Source organism: Homo sapiens, chromosome 11 (assembly GCF_000001405.40).
Source record: "Homo sapiens chromosome 11, GRCh38.p14 Primary Assembly".
Lineage (NCBI taxonomy): Eukaryota > Metazoa > Chordata > Mammalia > Primates > Hominidae > Homo > Homo sapiens.
Window position 1 is genome coordinate 68591546 of NC_000011.10, and position 20787 is coordinate 68612332.

The window sequence follows — 20787 nt, forward strand, 5'->3', positions numbered from 1 at the left end:
TGTTGTTTTTTTCCTCTCATTTTTATTTAGGGAAATATTGCCTTGTTTGAAGCATGTTGTAAGGAAAGAATACAACAGTTTGATGATGGTGGCTCTGATGAGGAAGATATATGGGAGGAAAAGCACATCGCATTCACACCAGAATCCCAAAGACGATCCAGGTGAAAGATAGTTGGTTATAGTTGTAATTATAGCCAACCTGTAAAGAAAATGATTATCATGAGACATACATTGTGTCATCACCAAACATACATGTTAACCCAGAAACCAGTGTTTTTTTTTGTCATGGCCAGAAATGCCCTTGTTGGCGGGAGTTGGTGCTTCCAGTGTGACAGTGATCTGCTGGGAAATGCTGCAGGTGTTTAGACACAGTTCGTGAGGTGTTGGGGCCCAGCGTCTTCCAAAGGGGAAATGTTGCAGACAAGCGTAGTCACATAGTGCCTTTTACTAAATAAATGTTCCGTCATCAGTAATTACAACAGCAGTTATGTGTTGTTTCTTGTAAAAGATGGAAAACTTCCCAAAGGAAGGGGAAATTGTATTTAAAAGTTAATCTATTTGGGGAAGATAGGGCCATGTCAATTAATATATCTGGGTCAATCCAGTCCTTTTTTTTTTTAAATCATCCGTATCACAGGAACCTAAATAAATGATGCTTCTGTACACAGACAAATCTTGTTATATGAGCATTCATTGTCAGAATCTTCATATTTAAGAGAGAGGAATATTTGATCAGCAGCTTAAGAGAGGAATATTTGAACAACAGCTGAACTTTCATTTTTATTTCATTTATTGTTACTCATTTTATTCATTTACTTATAATAAGTAATGTTTTCACGTGGCCTAGAATTCAAAGGGAATCAAAGAGTATGCAATGAAAAGTAAAACTGTCTCATCCCTTCTTCCAGCCGTCCAGTCCTCTTGCCGGGGAGTCCCTCAGCATCACCTCTCGCTGCCAGTTATGTTGCCTCTTGTGGGAATGCTTGTTGCCACAGGTTATAGCAGACTCAGCGGTGGCTTGAGCAAGTAAAGCTGTGTTTGTCTCTACAGTCCAGAGTTGATAAGGGAGTTGAATAAGGCTGTTAGACCGGGCATCTTTTATTTATTCCTGCTCTCGTCTTCTGCATGTTGAGTTATCTCCTATGATCACAAGATAGCTGCTATAGCTCCAGAGCCAGACAGCAAAAGAAAAATACCTTCATGGCATTTTTGTTTGTTTGTTTGGATAAAGTCACACTCAGACTTGTTTGCCATCATTTACTGAGATTTTGTTTCTTATGTTGAATGGATTCACTAAATGATGCTTGCCCACAGCATGACTAATATGTATGAGGACAGTAATACAGTATATCTTCACAGAGCACCACGTGTGGAAGGCACAGAGAATTTAGTGTGTCAGGGAAGACTGTGTCCTGGGGGAGATGGCACCTGATACCCAGAGGGAACACTGATGACAGAAGGCAGCTTTTATTATTTAACAACTCTATTGAGGCATACTTGACGTAAACTGCATTTATTTCAGTTGTACAGTGTGGAAATTTCAACATGTATATACATCCGTGAAACCATTATCCCAATCAACATCATGAATTTAACCATCACCCCAAAAAGTCTTCTCATGATCTTTTGTAATACCTTCCTCTTTCCTGTCCCGTCCCCCACAACCGTCTGTTTTTTTGTTCTATTAGTTTGCATTTTCTAGAGTTTTATATAAATGAAATCAATACATTATACTTTTTTTGTCTAGCTTCTTTCACTCAGCATAATTAATGTGAGAGCTGTCCATGTTGTCTAATGTATTAGTAGTCCATTTCTATTTTTGTGGGGTTGGGCAGGGGCTGGGTAGTATTCCATTAAGAGGATACACTACAGTTTGTTTATTCATTTTCCTATTCATGGATGTTTTGGTTGTTTCTGGTTTGAGGCCTATAATGTCACTTGAAGATAGATTGTGATGTTAAAGGTGCATACTGTAAACCCTAAAATAGTCACTAAAATAACAAAACGAAAAGTTATTGTTAATAAGCCAACAAAGGAAATAAAATCAAATCATAAAATACAAAAGAAAGCAGAAAAAGAACAAAGGGCAGCCTGGACAAACAAAACTACTGAGCAGCAGAATGATAGAGTTAGTCCTAAATAACCATGTGAAACAAACGATGCAGACACCCTCATTTAAAAGACAGAGATTGGCTGGGCACAGTGGTTCACACCTAGAATCCCAGCACTTTGGTTGGCCAAGGCAGATGGGTTGCTTGAGCCCAGGAGTTTGAGACCAGCCTAGGCAACATGGCAAAACCCTGTCTCTACAAAAAATACAAAAATTAGCTGGGCATGGTGGCGTGTGCCTGCTGTGAGGCGAAGCAGGAGGATTGCTGGGAAGTCGAGGCTACAGGGAGCCAAGATAAAAAAACAAAAAACAAAGATGGTCAGTTTGGATAAAAAATGAGGCCTAATTAATGCTGCCTATGGGAAATGATTTAAATACAAAGAAACAAGTATATATGAAAACACAAAAAAGAACAAGATATGTTAACACTAAGAAAAAGCCAGAAGGTCTGTATTAATCTCAAAAGATTTCAAAGGAAAGGGATAAAGAAAGTGATATAATGATAAAGGGGTCAATTCATTAAGAGGACATAGCAACTTTAAATGTTTACACAACCTAATAACTGCATTCTAGCCTAAGCGATATAGACCCCCGTCTCTTAAAAAAGGGGGAGAGAGAGAGAGAGAGAGAGAGAGAGGAGAGAGGAGAGAGAGAGAGAGAGAGAAAAAGAGAGAGAGAGTGAGAGAGAGAGTGAGAGAGAGAGAGAGTGAGTTAAATATGACTGGGCATGGTGGCTCATGCCTACAATCCCAGCACTTTGGGAGGCCAAGGCAGGAGGCTCTCTTGAGCCCAGGAGTTCGAGACCAGCTCGAGGAACATAGGGAGACCCCATCTCTATTTTTTTAAAAAAAGAAAAAATTTAAATATGTAGGGACAAATCTCACAAAACATGTCCAAGACCTGTATGCTGAAAAGCCTAAAGCATAGCTGAGATAAAGACAACTTGGTAAATGTTTATAAGTAGGAAGACTCAGTATTATAATACTAAGCTGCCAGCTCTCCTCCCCAGGTTGAATCTATAGATTCAACACAAACAAAATCCTTCCAGCCTTTTTTGTAGCTATTAACAAGCTGCTTCTTAAATTCATATGGAAATGAAAAGGATCTAGAATAGCCAAAGCAACTCTTATAGAGAACAACAAAATTGGAGGACAAACACTACCTTATTTTAAAATTCAATAGTTAAAACAGTATGATATGGGCAAGAAGGTAGGGCATAGATCAGTGGAACAGAATAGAGAGCCCATAAATACAGGCCTACGCATATATGGACAACTGACTTTTGATAGAGGCGAAAGGCAATTCAGTGAAGAAAGGATAGTCTTTTCAACAAATGGTGCTGGAACCATCAGGCATCCATATTCAAAAAAGTGAACTGATTCGTACCTCTTACTATATAATACATTAACTCAAAATGGATCTTAGACCCAAATGTGAAACATTAAACTATAAAACTTCTACAAGAAAACTTAGAAAATCATTGTGACCTTGAGTTAGACAAAGATTTCTTAGATGTATCACCAAAAACACAATACATAAAAATAATTTTTTTTTTTTTTTTTTTTTTTTTTTTTTTGGAGACGGAGTTTTGTTCTTCTTGTCCAGGCTGGAGTGCAGTGGCGTGATCTCAGCTCACTGCAGCCTCTGCCTCCCAGGTTCAGGTGATTCTCCTGCCTCAGCCTCTGGAGTAGCTGGAATTACAGGTGCCCGCCACCACACCCAGCTAATTTTTGTATTTTTAGTAGAGATGGGGTTTTGCCATGTTGGCCAGGCTGGTCTCAAACTCCTGACCTCAGGTGGTCTGCCCGCCTCAGCCTCCCAAAGTGCTGGGATTACAGGCGTGAGCCACCATGCCCATCCATAAAAGAATGATTTTAGTAAGCCGAACATCATCAAAATTTAAAATTTTCACTCTTCAAATGACACTTTTAATAGAATGAAACGACAAACCATGCACTGGGAGAAAACATTTGCAAATGACACATTAGATAAAAGACTTGTGTATAGAGTTAAGAAATCTCTTTACTCAAGAAAAAGACAATTCAGTTTTTAAAAAGCACAAAAGTGTGAAAAGACAGTTAAGATATAAGATGGCAAATAAGCATTTAAAAAGATGCTCAACCTCCTTGGTCATTAGGAAAGTACAAATGAACACCACAGTGAAATGAACACCTCCACCCCTTCGAGAAGGTGGTTCTTAGATTGTGGCCTCCACTTTAAGCAGAGCCCATGTGTTCCTGTGGTGGAGGCTTAGTGTGAGGTTGGGCAGCACGCACGCAAAGCTGAGTCTTCCCGGGCATCCTGACCACGTGGTGCTCAGACAGATGTGATCCTGCTGAAGCACCACAGGACCTTTTGTTGCTGGATGACTGTTAGAATTTTCTGGATTTAGCTGGTGGCTGATAAGCAGTGTTAAATACTTGGGTCTTGTTTTTCCTTAGCTCGGGGAGTACAGACAGTGAGGAAAGTACAGACTCTGAAGAAGAAGATGGAGCAAAGCAAGACTTGTTTGAACCCAGCAGTGCCAACACGGAGGATAAAATGGAGGTGGACCTGAGTGAACGTAAGTGGATTCATTCTTCAGATCAGCTGCCCTGTGTTGGAATTAGGTATTGTGAACAATTGGCAAAGGAGCAGTTCACAGCATCTGAGATGATATCTGAAGGAAAGGTTGGGTTGAAGCGTGTTGTCAAGTGAATTCCTCTTGGAGGTTTAAGTTTCAGAGACAGCTTCAGGGAAGGAGCACAGAATGCATTTGTGGATAAGGTACCTCCCCTTCCTGGTAGGAAATGAACGTCAGCTGTGTGGGTCTGGCTGGAGGACAGAGCCCACTGCTAGGTCAGTCTTCTGGCTGTGTACCCTGTGTGCTCTTGCAGAAGGAAAAGGCCCTGTGTTGGTGGGAAGAGGAGGACATGGTTGTGTTGTGTGGCTTCGTGAGTGGAATCAGCCAGGGGACGCAGCCTTAGCTTAACAAGCATTTCAGTGCGTTCTTCGTAGTTGATTTCAGAAGCTCACAGCCTTGAAACTTGTCCAGCTGAGTGCTTGCTTGTGCCCTGCTCCTTGCTAGGAAGACTTGAGTTAGCTGGCCTTTTAAAAATACTTCAAAAACTTCTAAAGGTTTGGGAAACAAACGTTCATGTGAAGGAGCCATATGGGCTGATAGCGAGGCTTGCCCCAAGCCTGGCCAGTCTCTGATTGCCCTGCAAGGCCTTTTTTATGTTCATCCCAGAGGCTGAAGCCCAGCTAGGGTGGACCTTGTGGTGACTTCAGAGCTAGATGGGACCAGATCAGTCATCCAGCAAACTGCCACATGTTGCAGATAAGGAAACGGGATGGGAGAAGAAGAGAGATCTTCTTTCTGCTGCCTGTTTTCCAGCCCACCCTCAGGAGGAGGAAGTGGACTTTTCTGTCCGTAATTCAGTTTCAGTCAACATGCCTTTGTCAAGTTCCTACTGTATGCCAGGTGTTAGGCCTGTAACTGTGAACGGGCCACAGACTCTGCCTCCAGGGGCTTGGGGTCGGCTGGGGAAGCAGATGGGCAGTGCAGGGGAATGGGTACAGGGTGCTAGAAGAGGGGAGCCTTCCATTAGGCCTCTTTGTAGAGGCAGGTGGGTATGAGGCTGAAGGACCCGTAGGGATTTGCCCGTGCGAGAGAGAAAACAGCTAATCCAAATGCCCAGAACGTGCTGTTTTGCATGGCTCGGGGATGAGGTGGCGGGAGCGAAGGCCAGAGGCCAGATCAGGAGTTGTATTCTGAAGGTTGTAGGGAGCCCTTGAGGATTTGACTAAGAAGATCATTATTGGTTCTGTTTCAAGACATTCATGGCAACAGTGAAAAATGGACGAGAAAACGCATGGTAGAGACAGGAGAACCATGAAGACATTGAACTGTTACACATGAGAAATAATGAGAACTGCAAGATGGGCTCCAGGCAGCAGGGAGGTGTGAGGAGGAGACAGGGCAGATGCCCTGATCTGTTGGCTCTGGAATCTGTAGGGTTTGTTGTTGTTGTTGTTGGTTTTTTTAATGTACAGTTCAAGGTTGGGTGCAGTGGCTCAGGCCTGTAATCCCAGCACTTTCTGGAGGCCGAGTCAGGCGGATCACTTGAGGCCAGGAGTTCGAGACCACCCTGGCCAACAGGGTGAAACCCTGTCTCTACTGAAAAAAAAAAAAAAAAGCTGGGCATGGTGGCATACACCCATAGTCCCAGCTACTCGGGAGGCTGAAGCAGGAGAATCGCTTGAACCTGGGAGATGGAGCTTACAGTGAGCCAAGATCATGCTGTGCACTCCAGCCTGGGCGACAGAGTGAGACTCCATCTGGGGAAAAAAAAAAAGTACAGTTCAGTAGTATATTCACACTGTTGTGTAACAGGTCTTTAAAACTTTTTCATCCTAAACTAAAACTCTGTACCCATTAAACAATTCCTCATTTCTACTTCCCCAGTCCCTAGCAGCCTCCATTCTACTCTCTGTTTCTCTGGGGTTGACTAGTCTAGGGATCTCATATAAATGGAATCATACAGTATTTATCTTTGTGACTGGCTTGTTTCCCTTAGCATAATGTCTTCAGAGTTCATCCCTGCTGTGGTGTATACAGGATTTCCTTTTGTTCGAAGGCCGAATGACATTCTGGAATCTTTGGTTCTTTTAGCAGGCTGGGTATGGTTAAGTGACAGGGAGGGAAACACACTTGGCTGGACTGCGTGCCGCTGCTGCTGTGACTGTGGGCCTGGGTGTAGGGATAAGCAGCGAGGAGGCGAGCACCCTGGATGAGGTTCGCGTTTACCTACCTCCCGGGGTTAAGTGTGGCAGGGAACCAGGCCTCCTGCTTCTCTGTTCCTTGGGAAAGACAGCTTTTGCATCTTCAGATCTCTGGAGACACAAGTGGGTAGGGTTGGGGAAGATTCTCTCTCAGGGCTTCAGGGCTACAGGGTTGCCCCAGAGAGCCTCTGCCATTCCACCAGTCTCTGTGGCTTCTGTTGGAGGTTTTGTGGACATTCAGAATCATTTAAAATGTTACACGGACTCTGAGGAGCTCATCTGGGAAAGACTATCTCAAAGAGATAACAGAAAAGTCATTTGTGTGTAATATAATTTAGTTGTAGAGTAGAACTCAGATAGAATGATTCCAGAGCTTTGCATAGAGTGGGCAGGCAAAAATAACTGTCAAGTTGACTTTTTGGAGGTTTCAGGTGAGATTTTCAAACATTCAAGCATTTATTCCTTCTTGGTGTCAGTGGAGCCCTGTGACACTCACACAGGTAGGTGGGCAAGAAGCATGGAGCGCACCCTAATTAAATGCCTACTCTGTGCAGGCCCTCCTGTGATCTTTGCTAAGTGAATAGTCATTATGAAATCAAACAGATGAAGTCAGATATCTTGGGGAAAGTCACAGTCAAGTCTGTCTTTAAACTCAGAACATTTCTATTCTACACGGGTACTTCTTAATCTTAGTCACTTGTGTCTGGGTTAAGCCCTTAAATAACTTATACCAGTTTCCCTAGCATTCCTTCCTGCAACCTAGAGATTCCTAATTATGATAATATCCCTGATGGAATGCAGTGGTTCCCACATCTGGCTTGTCCCCAGCAAAGAATTGAGGATTCAGCACTCTGTGAAGGAAAAGCATGGTGTGCAGTTAGAGCAGATCCACAGTGACCTGACTTCATCAGAAGGGACACATGTCTGAGGAGGTGACATTTAAGGAGAGACCTGCAGATTAGACCCAAACTTGGCCAGCAGGCAGCATAGTAAGAAGAGCCCCACAGACCGTAAGTGTGCTCAAGCAAGTCCTGCCGCTTCAGCCTCTGAGGCCAGACCTGGTTCTGCAGGACTTAGGAAGCCTAACTGCAGTGCACTGCAGGGAGCCCGCAGAATGGGCGAAGTGCAGTCAGACCCGGACTGGGAAGCATTAAGGTTATTTCTAGTTTATTGGAGTTGAATAATCAACATGTTCTTTTTTTAGAAAAATAACCTTTTTACTTTTGAATAATTTAGATTTATAGAAACATTGCCAAGATAGTAAGTCTCCATATATCCTTCACTTAGCTTCCCCAAGTATGAATACAGCCATGGTACATTTGTCAAAACTAAGAAATTAACATTAATCCCTCTTTGTGCATGTAGCTTTGAATCTCTGTGTAGTATTTCTTTTGGAACAGTTGTTAGAAATGGGAGGTTTGAGGCCAGGCGCGGTGGCTCACGCCTGTAATCCCAGCACTTTGGGAGGCCAAGGCGGGCGGTTCACGAGGTCGGGATATTGAGACCATCCTGGCTAACACAGTGAAACCTGTCTCTACTAAAAATACAAAAAATTAGCCAGGCGTGATGGCGGGTGCCAGTAATCCCAGCTACTCAGGAGGCTGAGGCAGGAGAATGGCGTGAACCCGGGAGGCGGAGCTTGCAGTGAGCGGAGATCGTGCCACTGCACTCCAGCCTGGGCGACAGAGCGAGACTCCATCTCAAAAAAATAATAATAAAAAGAAATGGGAGGTTTGAGAATGTGGGATCATTGTTAGAGTGCCCTCCAGGTGGCTGTGCCCTGTCCGCTCCTGCCCTCATTGGTGAGAGTGTCTTTCTCCCACAGCTCCAGTCTCTTTTGCTAATGTGTTTTTGATAAATACCTTGTGGTACATGAAACGACTGAAGTGTTTTCCAAATAGAATTTCTCCCCTCTTTTTAGCACCCAACTGGTCAGCTAACTTTGATGTCCCAATGGAAACAACCCACGGTGCTCCATTGGATTCTGTGGGATCTGATGTCTGGAGCACAGAGGAGCCGATGCCAACTAAAGAGACGGGCTGGGCTTCTTTTTCAGAGTTCACGTCTTCCCTGAGGTGAGCGAACATGTGCTGTCTCTACACCCTTCCACGGGGGACCTGGGAATGGTCAGGTGTTTGCTGTTAACGTGTGTTCTTCACCTTGACTGACTTCCAAGTTGAATATACTGCCCTGAAAAAGATTAAACATCAGCATACTAACACAGCTCTGTGTTGTAAGAAGAACAATCACCATCTTCCTTTCCTTTCCTCCTGGATTAATTGGAAATGGGAGTAGTTCTTGAACAAAGTAGCTTGTGAGGATGCGGTCCCAGGGAGTTAGCAGGACGCAGCAGAAGATGCATCTCCGTGAGCTTTTCTGGCTTCATAGAGCTGTCAGGACAGAATTGAGGAGAAGAGGAATGAGGTGAAGCCAAGAAATCCTGACAGGCACAGCACCTCTGTGTGGGGTGTGGCAGGCAAACAAAATGGATCTTGAATTCAGTAGATAATATGAACTTACAGTTCACTTGCAGCTAGTCCAGTGCTGTCAATTAAGGGCTCCCAATCATTGGTAACTCGGAAGATAGGAAGACAAGCTGTTTTGGGCTGACAGTTAGTGTCTTAGACAAACCAAAGAATAGGCTGAAACCCATGTTGCTTTGTAGTAACCATAGTAATAGCATTAAGTTACTACTCAGAGGTACAAGTGAGATTTGTGAAAAATGTCTCCAAAATAATGAGTTATTTCGTCTACCCCGCTTTTCAGTACAGGACATACATTTCCGCCTACTCCTTTTTTTGGTCTGTTTATAACCCGAGGATAAGAGCCTTTGGTTACTTGAGGGTGTGATTGAAGCAGCTTGCTTCTCTTTACCCTCTGTGTGCACGTCTCTGAGTTTGTGGGAATGAGGGATAAAAGAGGAAGTGTAATGATCTCCCTCACCCCTACCCCTTACTGCTCAGGCATTTGGTGTTTTTTTACTATGTTTCCACAGTTCCAACAACAAATATCATTAAGAGGGCCAGTCTCTCCCAGGCAGTGTGGCTGAAAATAAGTAAAGGTTTTTGTAAAACCAGTCAACCTGATAAATACCGTTGCCATTGCACAATGTACGTCTTTGCTGTTCAAGCTCTGGGAGCCTCCTAGTGACTATGGTGGGATGAGAAGTTGGGACATGATGAGCCTGTCTAGAATGCTTTACAAAGTCCCTGTCTTACTGCCTTGCTGGCTTAACAGAACATTTGCCTGCCCGCACTCATGTCCTTCTTCAAACAGCTACTGGCACTTAGATCCATGTGTCACTGGAGTTTGTAACCCAGTGACTCTTACACAGATGCTAATGTCTCCTAACAAAAACTTACTTGTAAAGGCTTATTGTGAATCTTGGGGTAACTGAGGACCATTCCCTGCTGCTAATATCTGAATTTTCTCTTTTTTGAAAGCACAAAAGATTCTTTAAGGAGTAATTCTCCAGTGGAAATGGAAACCAGCACTGAACCCATGGACCCTCTGACTCCCAGTGCGGCTGCCCTGGCAGTGCAGCCAGAAGGTGCGTGCAGAGAGGCCTGGGTACACGCCAGGGTCACGTGGCTGCTTTGTCAAACCAGACCTGATTCTCAGGCTCAGGGGCTAGTGGAGCCCGGGAGTGAGATGGTGGGTCTGATGTCCACAGGGCAGCTGATGAAAGAAATTGTGCCTGTCCTTCTAGAACCACAGCATGCTGACTCTGGAAAGAGTAAGGGCTCTAAGTTACCAGGCATGCAGTGTGCAGATTAGGAAACTGAGGTCTAGAGGGAAGAAGGCCTAAGCCCATAGTACCCAGGGTGAATAAAACTGGAATTAGACGTGTGCAGCCAAGCCTGTGTGTAGTTGTCCCTTGGAGTTTGCTTTGCTCAAGCATGTAGGTGTATCTGGGTTTGTTTAGAGCTATGGGGCTGGTTATTTTCACTTCGCCATTGTAAGCAGATTGAATAGTCCTGGGAATCTCTAAAGTTCCAGTGGGTTTTCCTATTACTCTACCTAGTCAAATGTGTTCCTTGCACGGCCCTGAACTGTTTTCACCTTGATGGACGGGGCTTTGGGAGGAGGGGGATGCTAGCAAAGGGAGTGTGATGGGAACCAAAAGGATGTGGAGGGCACGAATCATGAGGTGGGCTTAAGGAGTGAGTTCTTAGAAAATGAAATGAGGTTTTGGTAGAGGGTGTGAGAACCCTCCTTCCCAGGGGCAAGGGAAAGGAATAAAACCAATAACTAATGCTGGTTTCATCATCCTCCTGAACATTTGATACAGATTCCCGCATTTGACTCCTCAGTGGTTCTGTAAGTGGGTGCACTGATCCCCTTTCCTGGATGAGGAAACTCAGGTTATAGATGAGGTTCCTTGTCCAAGTAGTCTACAGCTAGGAAGTGGTGATGTCGATGTTTGAATCCAGGAAGCCTCACCTCAGCCAGGCTCATCACCTATGTTGGCTTCCCATTAGAGAACAAAGAAACGATCCACCAGCAACACCACAAGAAAGTAATTTTTAAAACAAAGCAAAGCAAATAGAGCCCAACTGAGGAAAACAAGTGAGTAGAGGGTAGAGTGTGTAACTGCCTGCTCTGCCCCACACTGGAACAGTTAGGAGCACAAGTGTCTGCTGGGAGAAGCTGGGTATGGAGGTGGACGCTGAGCTGGGAGGGATGTAGGCGACTTGCTAGTCTCTAGTAAAGAAAACCCATGAAACCCCTCTTTAGTGGGCATCTTTAAGAAGTCTCTCCCCATCAAGAATGTGGCCCAGACAACAGCAGGCAGAAGCCATCTCACTCTTTTTTTTCTTCAAGCAGTAGATGTCACGTTGGGTAGATGGGTTTGTACAGTGGTGGGGTGCCAGTTCCTTTTCGGGCTTGCTGTGTGTGACCATCAGCTGTGTTCTTTTCAGCGGCAGGCAGTGTGGCCATGGAAGCCAGCTCTGACGGAGAGGAGGATGCAGAAAGTACAGACAAGGTAACTGAGACAGTGATGAATGGCGGCATGAAGGAAACGCTCAGCCTCACTGTAGATGCCAAGACAGAGACTGCGGTCTTCAAAAGGTAACCAGGGGTGAGATCCTGCTGGTAGCTTCAGGTTATTGGGAGGATGGTGGGGCAGAAACCTCAAACATTAAAATTTTTAATTTGATTCAAATGAATGTTCAGATACTAGCTTGATGTCTTTCTGTTGTCTCCATTAAACACAATAAATCTTAATGAAGAGATGGAGAGTTTAGGCCCCTAAGTGCCTTTTCCCCCATAAATGTGTTCAGAAGACTGTATTTTACATCTAGCAGTTTGATAGAACTATGAGAATTGATAAATCTTTAATCACAATAGAAATTGGCTTGTGTAACAGGCTACAGAGCATGGCCCATGAAAACCGGTTTCAGGTCGACTGGTTTTACAAAAACCTTTACTTATTTTCAGTAACATACAGATGATTATCTCAGGACATAATGCAGTCATGAAAATTCAGTAGCAAAATGATAGCTTTAAAAGAACGTGACCCTTAGAAATTCACTTCTAAACTCAAAAAAGGAATTGTAATGGATATTAAAAACCTAAAACTGAGAGAATAATGGGAAAAATGTCTGTCAAAACTTAAGGACTGAAGCTAAGCCTGTGCTTAGAGCTTTAGTCTTAGAGACCATTCCAGCCATTACAAGAAGGAATGCCTCCCTGCTTATTGCGAGGTCACTACAAAACAAGGAGTGAAAGAAGAAAACTGACTGTAGACTGATTTCATACATGAGCAATTATTCTCAAAACTTAAGTTAAAAGCTAGCAAACCAAATGTAGCAATGTATTTTAAAGTCATGACCAAGGATATGTGCTCCAGTGACACAATGTAAACACCAGTGTGTACATGGTAAAAATTATTCAGAGTAATTCCCAGACAAAAGGAGAAAAGCATTTGATTACAAATTAAAGCTGTTCATGATTTTCTTTGCAGCCTAGGAATAGAAAGTAAATAGGTGAAACTGGTAAGTATCTCTAGAAAATCTAGAGTAGACTTGATTCTTCAGTGAGGCATTAGAAGTATTCCCTTTAAAGACAAGAACCAGAAAGTGGGACCTACAGTTGCTATTTGTCTTCAGCACTGTGCTGGTGGCCTTAGCAAATGCAGCATTCCAAATAAATAAATAGTCGCTGTTGATAGGCTATGATTTATACATAAAAATTCCAATGGAATCTGTAGATAAGGATTAATAGAAAAGTTTAGCAGGTTTACTGGAGACATACAAAATCACTTGCATCCTATAAATCAATATAAGATATTCCAAATGTGCCTGTTTTTAATAAAAATGTAAAACCTTATCTATAACTAGGAATATGACCTTTATGGGAAAACAGTTTAAAATCTCATGGAATATATTGAAGACCTGAATATAAATACCAAGATTTGCCATGTTTATCAATGTGAAGATATTTTTAGCATTTCTGAACAAGTTAGTCTATGAAATTAATGAAATTTCCATCAAAATCCCAATAGAGATTTTCATGGAAATTGAGAAACTGATTGTAATAGTCATAAGACCAAAGAGAGCCAGGAATAGCCAAAAACATTTTAAAGAAAAAAGTGAGGGGCTTCACCATATTAGATATCAAGACTTAGTAAAGCTGGCCGAGTGTGGTGGCTTGCACCTGTAATCCCAGCACTTTGGGAGGATTAGGCAGACAGATTGCTTGAGCCCAGGAGTTTGAGACCAGCCTAGGCAACGTGGCAAAATCCTGTCTCTGCAAAAAATACAAAAATTAGCTGAGTGTGGTGGTGTGTGCCTGTGGTCCCAGCTACTTGGGGGTGCTGAAGTCGAGGCTGCAGTGAGCTGTGTCCCCCACTGCACTCCAGCCTGGGGGACAAAATGAGACCCTGTCTCAAACAAAAGCGAAAACAAAACTTAGTAAAGCTACTGAGATGGTGTGGCTTTGGCAAAGAATTATACAAAGAGACCCCCTCCACTACATGAACTTGTTACATGTTAGAATGCCATTATAATTCAATGAGGAAAGAGTGGACTAGTAAATAGTGATTATCCACATAGTAGAAAAATAAAATTAGATATTTTGTCTCAACATAAATATGAAAAGCATGAACTGTACAGCTTTTAGAAGACAACAAAAGAGAGTATCTTTACAGTTTGGGTGTAAGGCATTTTTTTAACCATAAAAAGCCAAACCATAAAGGAAAATCTTGGTAAGTTTGACTTTAATTTCTAATATCCCAGAAGACATAAAATGAAAAGACAAGCCACAACCAGTAAAGAACCAGTAGCCAGGATATTAGAAATAACCTTATATCAATGAGAGATAGTCTAATTTTTTTAAATGGACAAAGGATGCAAACAAGCAACTGTCTGTGGAGGAAAACAAGGAGCAAACCAAATCCAGAGTAAATGGGACCTGTCAGTTACAGTAGTAAGTAAATGCTATTTCGTGCTCACCAGTCTACTAATTCCTATCTTAAGTTGTTAGAGAAGATAGAAAAAGTACAAAACCTGCCCAGCTCTTTTTATGAGGGCAGTGAAATTTGAATTCCAAAACCAGATAAAGATAATTACAGAAAATGATCAGTTCATGCCACTTACAGGCTACTGAATGCAAAAATCCTGTGTAAGGTATTTGCTGACTGGATCCAACAGTGTATTAAAAATAATTTATAATGATTAGTTAGGGTTTATCCTGGAAGGCAAGGATGGCTCAAAGTCAGAGAAATCTGTCAGTTTAATCTCCATATATGGTGTTAGACAGAAAGTCAGTCATTTGATTTTTTTTATAAGGTTCCATAGCTATATATGATTAAAACTCTGAGAAAACCAGTAACAGAAGTGAATTTATTTTTCTTCTTTCCTCCTCTTCCTCCTCCCTCCTTCCTCCTTCTTTCTTCTTCTTTCTTCTTTCTTCTTCAAGATGAGTGCAGTGATGTGGATCTCGGCTCACTGCAATCTCTGTCTCCTGGGCTTAAGCCATCCTCCCACCTCAACCTCCCAAGTAACTGGGACTAGGACTACAGGCACACGCCACCATGCTCAGCAAATTTATGTAGTTTTTTTTTTTTTTTTTTGTAGTGATGGGGTTTCACCATGTTGCCCAGGCTGGTCTCAAACTCCTGAGCTCAAGCAATCCACCTGCCTCCACCTCCCAAAGTGCTGGGATTACAGATGTGAGCCACCGCGCCTGGCAATGAATTTCATTAACTTGGTATAAGTTAAATACCAATACCAAAATGCTACAGCAAAACTAACACCTAATGAGGAAAGTTTAGATGCATTCACTTTAAGATGAAGCCTTAAAGGATGTCCATTTTCATTGCCAGTGTTAGGCAGTCCTGGAAGGAAAAGGAAATAGAGTTATAGGTAAAGATCAGGAGGAAGTGATAAAACTGTTGTTCTTTGCAGGTGGTAATGATTACCTACAACCAAGTCAGTAGCAAACTTGTAACTAATAAGAATTCAGTAAAGCTATTGAGTAAGAAATCAGTTTAAAAAATCAGTAGTCTTTTTCTTCATCAGTAGTAAGCAACCAGAACATAAAAAGCAAGGTATTATTCCAAAATACATCAAAATATAAATTATTCAGGAATGATCTTAACCCAAGTCTCTATAGAGAAATCTGGACAAGTGGAGACCATGGCATAGCTTAGTGCTGCAGAGACATCTGCCATCCTGAAGTTAGTGTTTAACGCAGTCTCAATCCAAATTTCAGTTGGATTTTTAGAAGTAACTTAATACTCTAAAATTTATATGGAAAAATGAAGGTTCCCAAATTGCTTAGAGGTAACCAAAAGGGAAGATTGAAAAAGGGACTTGCCCTGCCAGATAGTCACGCTGCAAAGTCACAGTGATTGGAACAGTTTTGATATTAGTGTCCAAACAGGTACAGGTGTCAGTGTGATGAAATAGAGGGATTAATAATGGGGAAGGGAGAGGAAGGGCTGGTTCACCAAAAGGAAAAGTCAGGCAAGATCCTCCCTAATCTACATTCTAAAACAACTCCAGCTGGATTAAAAGACAATAAGAAAAACATGTGCAGTGCTTTCTGTGGACCAGGCCCTGCTCTCTACACTCTCCATGTGTGGTAGCTCATGGATTATTCTTAGGAACCCTATAAGATAGGTACTGGGATTATTATCCCTGCTTTTCAGGTGAGGAAACTGAGGCACTAGAGTTAAGTGATGAGGCCGGAGGCCAGAGTCTCATGATGGTTAATAAAAGAAATACAGAATGTCTTTTTAACCTGTGTGCAGAAAGGGACTTCTGTATCTATCTCATCTGTCTGTCATCTATCTATCTATCTGTCTGTCTGCCTATCTAATCTATCATCTGTCAGTCTATATCTAATCTAGATTTTTTTTTTTTTAACACGAGGTCTCGCTCTGTTGCCCAGGCTGGAATGCAGTGGCACAATCATAGCTCACTGTAACTTCCAACTCCTGAGCTCCAGCAGTCCTCCCACCTCAGTATCCCAAGTAGCTGGAACTACAGTTGTGTGCCACCACTCCTGGCTTAATTTTTTTGTTTGTTTACTTTTTTATTTTTGTGGCCCAGGCTGATCTCAAACTCCTGGCTTCAAGTGAGCCTCCTTCCTCGGCAGGACTTCTTTAAAAAAAAAAAAAAAAGCCTTCAAAAACAGAAACTATAATGCAAAGAGTTGAGTTAGATTATATTAAAGTTAAGAATTTCTGGTTGATAAAATGCTGCAGACAAAATTAAGAGGCTGATGGCAAACTGAAAAAAACATCTGTAGTAGCTAAATCAACAAGAGACTGACATTATATATTCAAGGACTTCCTATAAACTAGTAAGAAGAAGAAAACCCAAATTAGAAAATTGGCAAAAGATAAGTTTATAGACAAGCCTTAAAAGCTAAAACAAACAAACAAACAAAAATGCTCAAAACTCATCAGAGAATTATAAACGATAACAATATAGGACTTGATACTCTTCTTACACGAGCAGCAGTTAAAGGTGGATGATGTTGAGTGGCGGTGGGCTGCAGCCTGCGGGGCCCTGGTGGCCTGCTGGTGAGGAATACAGACCAGGGCAGTCATTCTGGGTAGTAGCGTGGGCTTCTTTGTAGGTAGAAAAATGGCCTACAACTCTTCACTCCTGGGTGTCAAGTACTGAGAAACGCCCAGACAGGTCTGCCAGGGGCCGTGGACAGTGATGGTCGTCACAGCACCCTGCATGGAAGTGTGAGGTGGAGGGCAGCTTTGGTTGGGAGAAGCCATGTAGAGTGGTAGGTGCACGCCACGGGTGCTGTGCCACAGTCAGTGGGGACAGTGGGTCTCCCCGACTTGCTGAGTTAAGAGGTAAATACAATGAGATGTAGAGTTGAATCCATCCCAGTTAGCGACTCAGAATACACATTGTGTTATGACTATTTTTTAAAGAATTAGAATTAGAAACACATTAGTTGCTTTGAAGGGAAAGGAGTGGAGAATGGGGATGAAGAAGAGTAACTTTACAAAGAAGGAACCAGGTAATTCAGATGATCACTAAATCATATGATTTTAACTCATTTTCCTACTTATAAATTGCTTGGAACTATCTGGAAACGACCCAAGAATGCATCCTAATATGAGATTTTTCATAAGCAAAATCCAGGACAGAATCAGCTCTGAGTGATGGACCTTTCACTCTTATTAGTGCCATTGTGATTATGTAAAAAGGGGAATCCCAGACTGAATAGGCAGAGTCTAAATTTCTAGCCCACAGAGCTGAGGAGAGTGTCTCTTGTGTCTTTCTCCACCAAGAACCATCTAAGGGGGAAAAACAGTCCTTCTGGGTCTCATTTTACCCAAATCCTCTGTGTCCTTAGGATCAGCTCTTGGCCCCCTCTTCTCCCTCTGGCGTTTGTGCTTCTCACACATTGTTCGAGGGCAACTCGAGGAGCCGTGAAATCCGATGCAGTCAACACGGTGACCTCATGTGACTGAGGCTTCCAGCCAGCAAGCTGATGGGGTCTGTCTTGCTGCTTTAATGGTGGGCTTGGCCCCAAAAGCAAAGTGCTTTAACTAAAGACTCATTCCTTCAAACAGGTTCTTTGACACCTTCACCGAGTCTGCAGTTTTGCTTACGTGCAGTCGTGGACATATTATTCCCCCAAATTCCTCATTTCTAGGAGTATTCTGAAACTCTTGTACATTTCTTTTTCTGTTTTGCACACTGGGCTTCAGAGTGTTGAAATCCTATCGGTATGTACAGTGTTATGGGACCGTTCTTTATCAGACGCCAGCCACATTACATTGTCCCTGTTTTGGTTCCCACCTGTGTGCGACCCTTTCCTTTTGTGATTCCCCAGTCACTGTCTGTGGTTGTGTGATCGTGCACCCTGCGCATGCTCAGTCCCAGGATGCTTTGCCTCCGCGGCAGTCATGACTCCAGAGCCATCTGCATGTGACCTCATCCTCTGGTGCCTAGGTGCTGGTCCCTAGGGTGTTTGATGTGCCTGTCATCCTCTTTACTGCAGTGAGGAAGGGAAACTGTCTACCTCTCAAGATGCTGCTTGTAAAGACGCAGAGGAGTGTCCCGAGACTGCAGAGGCGAAGTGCGCGGCGCCCAGGCCTCCCAGCAGCAGTCCCGAGCAGAGGTAACCACCCGCCTCCTCAAACCCACCCAGGCCCTGCCCTGACCTTGCCTGTTGCTTCCTGGGAGTTGGGAGGGGACTATAGGGATCGTTTACAGCTGTGCTCAAGTCTTAGGCCGCTGACCTGGCAGGACAGGGTTTTCTCAGTCCTTAATGAGCTGAGTCCGACTGAGCTGAGAACTTAGAAACAGCAGTTCCTCTCCTTAGCGCAGAAACTGAAAACCAGTTTTTAGAGACTCTTTAACATCACTCGCTCTTTTAGAAGTGGCTCCGAACAGAGGGGTCTCCTCACCCTTGTTGTTGAGGTACTGAGCTGAGGGTGGCATTGAGCCCCTCCAGGACTTGAGTTCTCATTGGCCCCACTAAAGTCATCCAGCCGCCAGGCACGAGCAGATCGTGGTGCCTATTTGCCCACATTCCTGCCCTGTGTGACACAAGGAGAACTTGCTGGAGCCCTTTCATACATGTAGCTAAATAATTCTTAGTGCTTAAGTGACTCCCTGTAATCTTAAGTATGAAATGCCCACTCCCAGAGCTGTGTGACTTAGAATGTGATGTTTTGTTTCTAGTCACTTTTTGCTTAGCCTGAGCCAGTGGTCTGAAGGGATGGGCCAGTCTAAGTCTCAGCCACCCGGAGCCCATGCCAGGCCCTTAGCAAGACTGAGCATGGCCCAAAGATGAGGCTGCACCCCTGGGCCACAGGAAGCTTTGTTCAGCACTTCCCACAATCAACTTCTGTGAACAAATGTAGCTAAGATTGTATATTCCTTCCATAAGGAATAAAATGACCTTTAAAGCTATTTCAGAGAAGTTTTAACCCCCCACCCCCACCCCATCCTCCCCCAAATCTTGCCAGCATTGTATGAGAGCATAACCAGTGGGAACCAGCAGGGAGCACTCTTTGTTGGTCCAAAATCCTGTATTCACAGTGTAGCAAGCTGTTTGTGTTCCTCCTGTGGAAATTGTAGCCAAAATAAAGCCTTTGTTTTTGTGATTAGAAATATTTTTTTTGCATATAAAACAAACAAATTAAGAACTATTTGAGCATGTTGGCTCTAGTGAAGGCTTTTGGGGGAAGAGGCAGGGTGGCCCTCTAGCACTGGGAAGCTGCCTCAACTCTGCTTCTACGGATTGGGCAAGTCACTCTCTTTCTTGGGGTTTCAATGTATTTTTTAATGGTCCTTTATAGGTCTCATTCCCAATCAATTATTTCAGCTCTCTGATTTCTACCTATAAATTTCCTTTATATTGAGGGCTGCCTAGGCAGGATCGTCCAGGTCTATCCCAGTTTGGGGCAGTTGCTTCAGGGGAATATTCTTGGTTTCTCTGTCATAAGGATGCACAAGGCTCTGGAGTCATTTCCTTGGCTTTCTGAGCACAGAAGAATTGTTTGCATAAGGGGAAGCCACTTGCTCTCCTCTGTGGCTGGGAATGCCTGCTCTGAAGAGCCCTGCCCTAACCTGCCGGGCCAAGGGATGGAGGAAAAGATGGGGTCAGCCAGTGGAAGAAGAGGGGCATCACTTGGGTCCATGCCTTTATCCATCTGTCCTTCTTTCCTCTGACACACGTTTGTGTGTGGTGGCCACTGGTCTAGGCCGGGTCATAAAGCTGCAGCACACGGACACCCAGTGGTCTCGGGGCATACTAGAGGCACATTCATCAAGAAGCCACGAAGAAGGGACAGGGGTCCATGTGAGCTGGGGTGCGGGGGAGAGGATCTCTGAGGTGACGTTGGAGTGGGCATTAGGGCAGACCTAGAGTGCGTCCTAGATTGCACGTGTTCTAAAGTGACGTATGACAGCATGGGATATTGAAGCTCACCCGTCTTTCCTGTGTGGTTCCCGTCCCAGCCAGATACCACAGTTCCTTGGATTGGCAGGCGCGCTGTTTCCTGTCACACTTAAAGATCTGCATTGCCACATGATCTCACTTTTCACAGCTGTTTTATCAAGCATGTCCTTTGTGCTTCTGATGTGCTGAGCATGCTGCACACATTATGTACTTATTTCATATGTATACTAGTGAAGCCCTGTGGGGCGTGGGGAGGGTTCTTTTCCCATTTTACAGAGGAGAAAACAGAACTGAGAGGGGCTAAGAAATCTACTTATAAGATCACTCAGCTTGTTTAAGTGAAGGCAAGTTAGTTATATACCAGTTATGTCTAGTTCCAGAAGTCTCGATTCCTATGTCTCTCATACACGGAGCCACCATCAGATGTAAGTAAGTGAGCAGAGTGGATTGTGTGTGCAGAGCTGACTTTTTGGCTCACTGTATAACCAGCAGGTATAAGGCATGAGTAGCATTCTAGCTGT

General features: G+C 43.5%; 1 protein-coding gene across 81 annotated transcripts in view, besides 3 other annotated features; it reads left to right on the plus strand.

Annotated features, from left to right (window-relative positions):
* PPP6R3 (protein phosphatase 6 regulatory subunit 3) overlaps positions 1-20787 on the plus strand; it is a 154583-nt gene that overhangs the window by 130794 nt on the left and 3002 nt on the right. For 55 of the 81 annotated variants that reach the window (NR_147971.2, NR_147969.2, NM_001352362.2 and 52 more), the window contains 6 exons: positions 31-161; positions 4552-4673; positions 8796-8949; positions 10318-10424; positions 11797-11947; positions 18359-18478. Coding sequence is in view for 74 of the 81 variants with exons in the window: in NM_001352362.2 (NP_001339291.1) it covers positions 31-161; positions 4552-4673; positions 8796-8949; positions 10318-10424; positions 11797-11947; positions 18359-18478 (785 nt within the window). In the remaining 7 variants the exon portion in view is untranslated. Of the gene's footprint in view, positions 1-30; positions 162-4551; positions 4674-8795; positions 8950-10317; positions 10425-11796; positions 11948-17927; positions 18084-18358; positions 18479-20787 lie in introns of all 81 variants that reach the window. The other 26 variants (NR_147966.2, NM_001352379.2, NM_001352354.2 and 23 more) reach the window with 2 other exon arrangements.
* Positions 11636-11840: a silencer, noted in NCBI's record as "fragment chr11:68370649-68370853 (GRCh37/hg19 assembly coordinates)". NCBI's record gives its function as "represses an EF-1alpha promoter that drives an FKBP-Casp9 reporter gene in an ReSE screen in K562 erythroleukemia cells {active_cell/tissue: K562}" and the evidence as "EXISTENCE:reporter gene assay evidence [ECO:0000049][PMID:32094911]".
* Positions 17948-18449: an enhancer, noted in NCBI's record as "H3K4me1 hESC enhancer chr11:68376961-68377462 (GRCh37/hg19 assembly coordinates)". NCBI's record gives its function as "activates a minimal SCP1, AML or CMV promoter by ChIP-STARR-seq in primed H9 embryonic stem cells {active_cell/tissue: H9 hESC(primed)}" and the evidence as "EXISTENCE:reporter gene assay evidence [ECO:0000049][PMID:30033119]".
* Positions 18450-18949: an enhancer, noted in NCBI's record as "H3K4me1 hESC enhancer chr11:68377463-68377962 (GRCh37/hg19 assembly coordinates)". NCBI's record gives its function as "activates a minimal SCP1, AML or CMV promoter by ChIP-STARR-seq in primed H9 embryonic stem cells {active_cell/tissue: H9 hESC(primed)}" and the evidence as "EXISTENCE:reporter gene assay evidence [ECO:0000049][PMID:30033119]".